This window comes from Homo sapiens, chromosome 7, assembly GCF_000001405.40.
Source record: "Homo sapiens chromosome 7, GRCh38.p14 Primary Assembly".
NCBI lineage: Eukaryota > Metazoa > Chordata > Mammalia > Primates > Hominidae > Homo > Homo sapiens.
Genome location: NC_000007.14, coordinates 81924379 through 81925084, shown reverse-complemented (window position 1 = coordinate 81925084; position 706 = coordinate 81924379). Strand labels below are relative to the sequence as shown.

The 706-nt window shown below is 37.0% G+C and overlaps 1 annotated feature.

Annotated features, from left to right (window-relative positions):
- Positions 220–279: an enhancer, noted in NCBI's record as "active region_26212". NCBI's record gives its function as "activates an Ori minimal core promoter by ATAC-STARR-seq in GM12878 lymphoblastoid cells {active_cell/tissue: GM12878}" and the evidence as "EXISTENCE:reporter gene assay evidence [ECO:0000049][PMID:35858748]".

Sequence of the window (706 nt, the reverse complement as noted above, 5' to 3'; positions counted from 1 at the left end):
TTGTAACTATGCTGTCCCATATGTGACACATATCAAAGGGGAGGTCAATAGTGTACCTGCTGTGCCAAGAGACTAACTAGATTTAGAGGTTAGTATCACTTCAGGATTAACATGAGTGATCACTAGAACCAAGTGGACAGTGGACCCCCAAGTCTAACTGATAATATATTTGAGAAGATGAGCACACTTAGCCCTTAGTACTAAAGGAAGACCATCGAAAAGGGAAACTTGATGCCAGAGCAGCTTAAATACCTCAAGCAACATCAGAAACCGGTTAAGAGAAAGACAGCAAACCAAACAATGTTAGATAAAACAAAGGAAAGAACAAAAGGCTGATGCTGCTTCTGCCTTGATTACTTCATTGGTAAAATGAGGTTAACACATCATTTCTTGGAACACTCAGGGCCACATAAGTCAATTGCTCTGTTTCAGAACTCTCTCACAGGCATTCCCCTCCTAGGCATGCTTTCATTCATTCTGTTCATTAGTACTTCAAAGCATTCTAAAGTATACTGCTTTCACAAAAAAAAAAAAAAATTCCAAAATGACCTAATGAATTTATCAAGACACCTTAGCTCAAGAGTGACTTTGAGTGTTGCTATTTAAATAGCAACTTCAATGAGAAAAGAAAGAAGTGAATTACAGAAATTGGAAAGAAGGTAAGTTTATTACTTGTTTTTGATACTATATCAGGTAAATGAAGAGA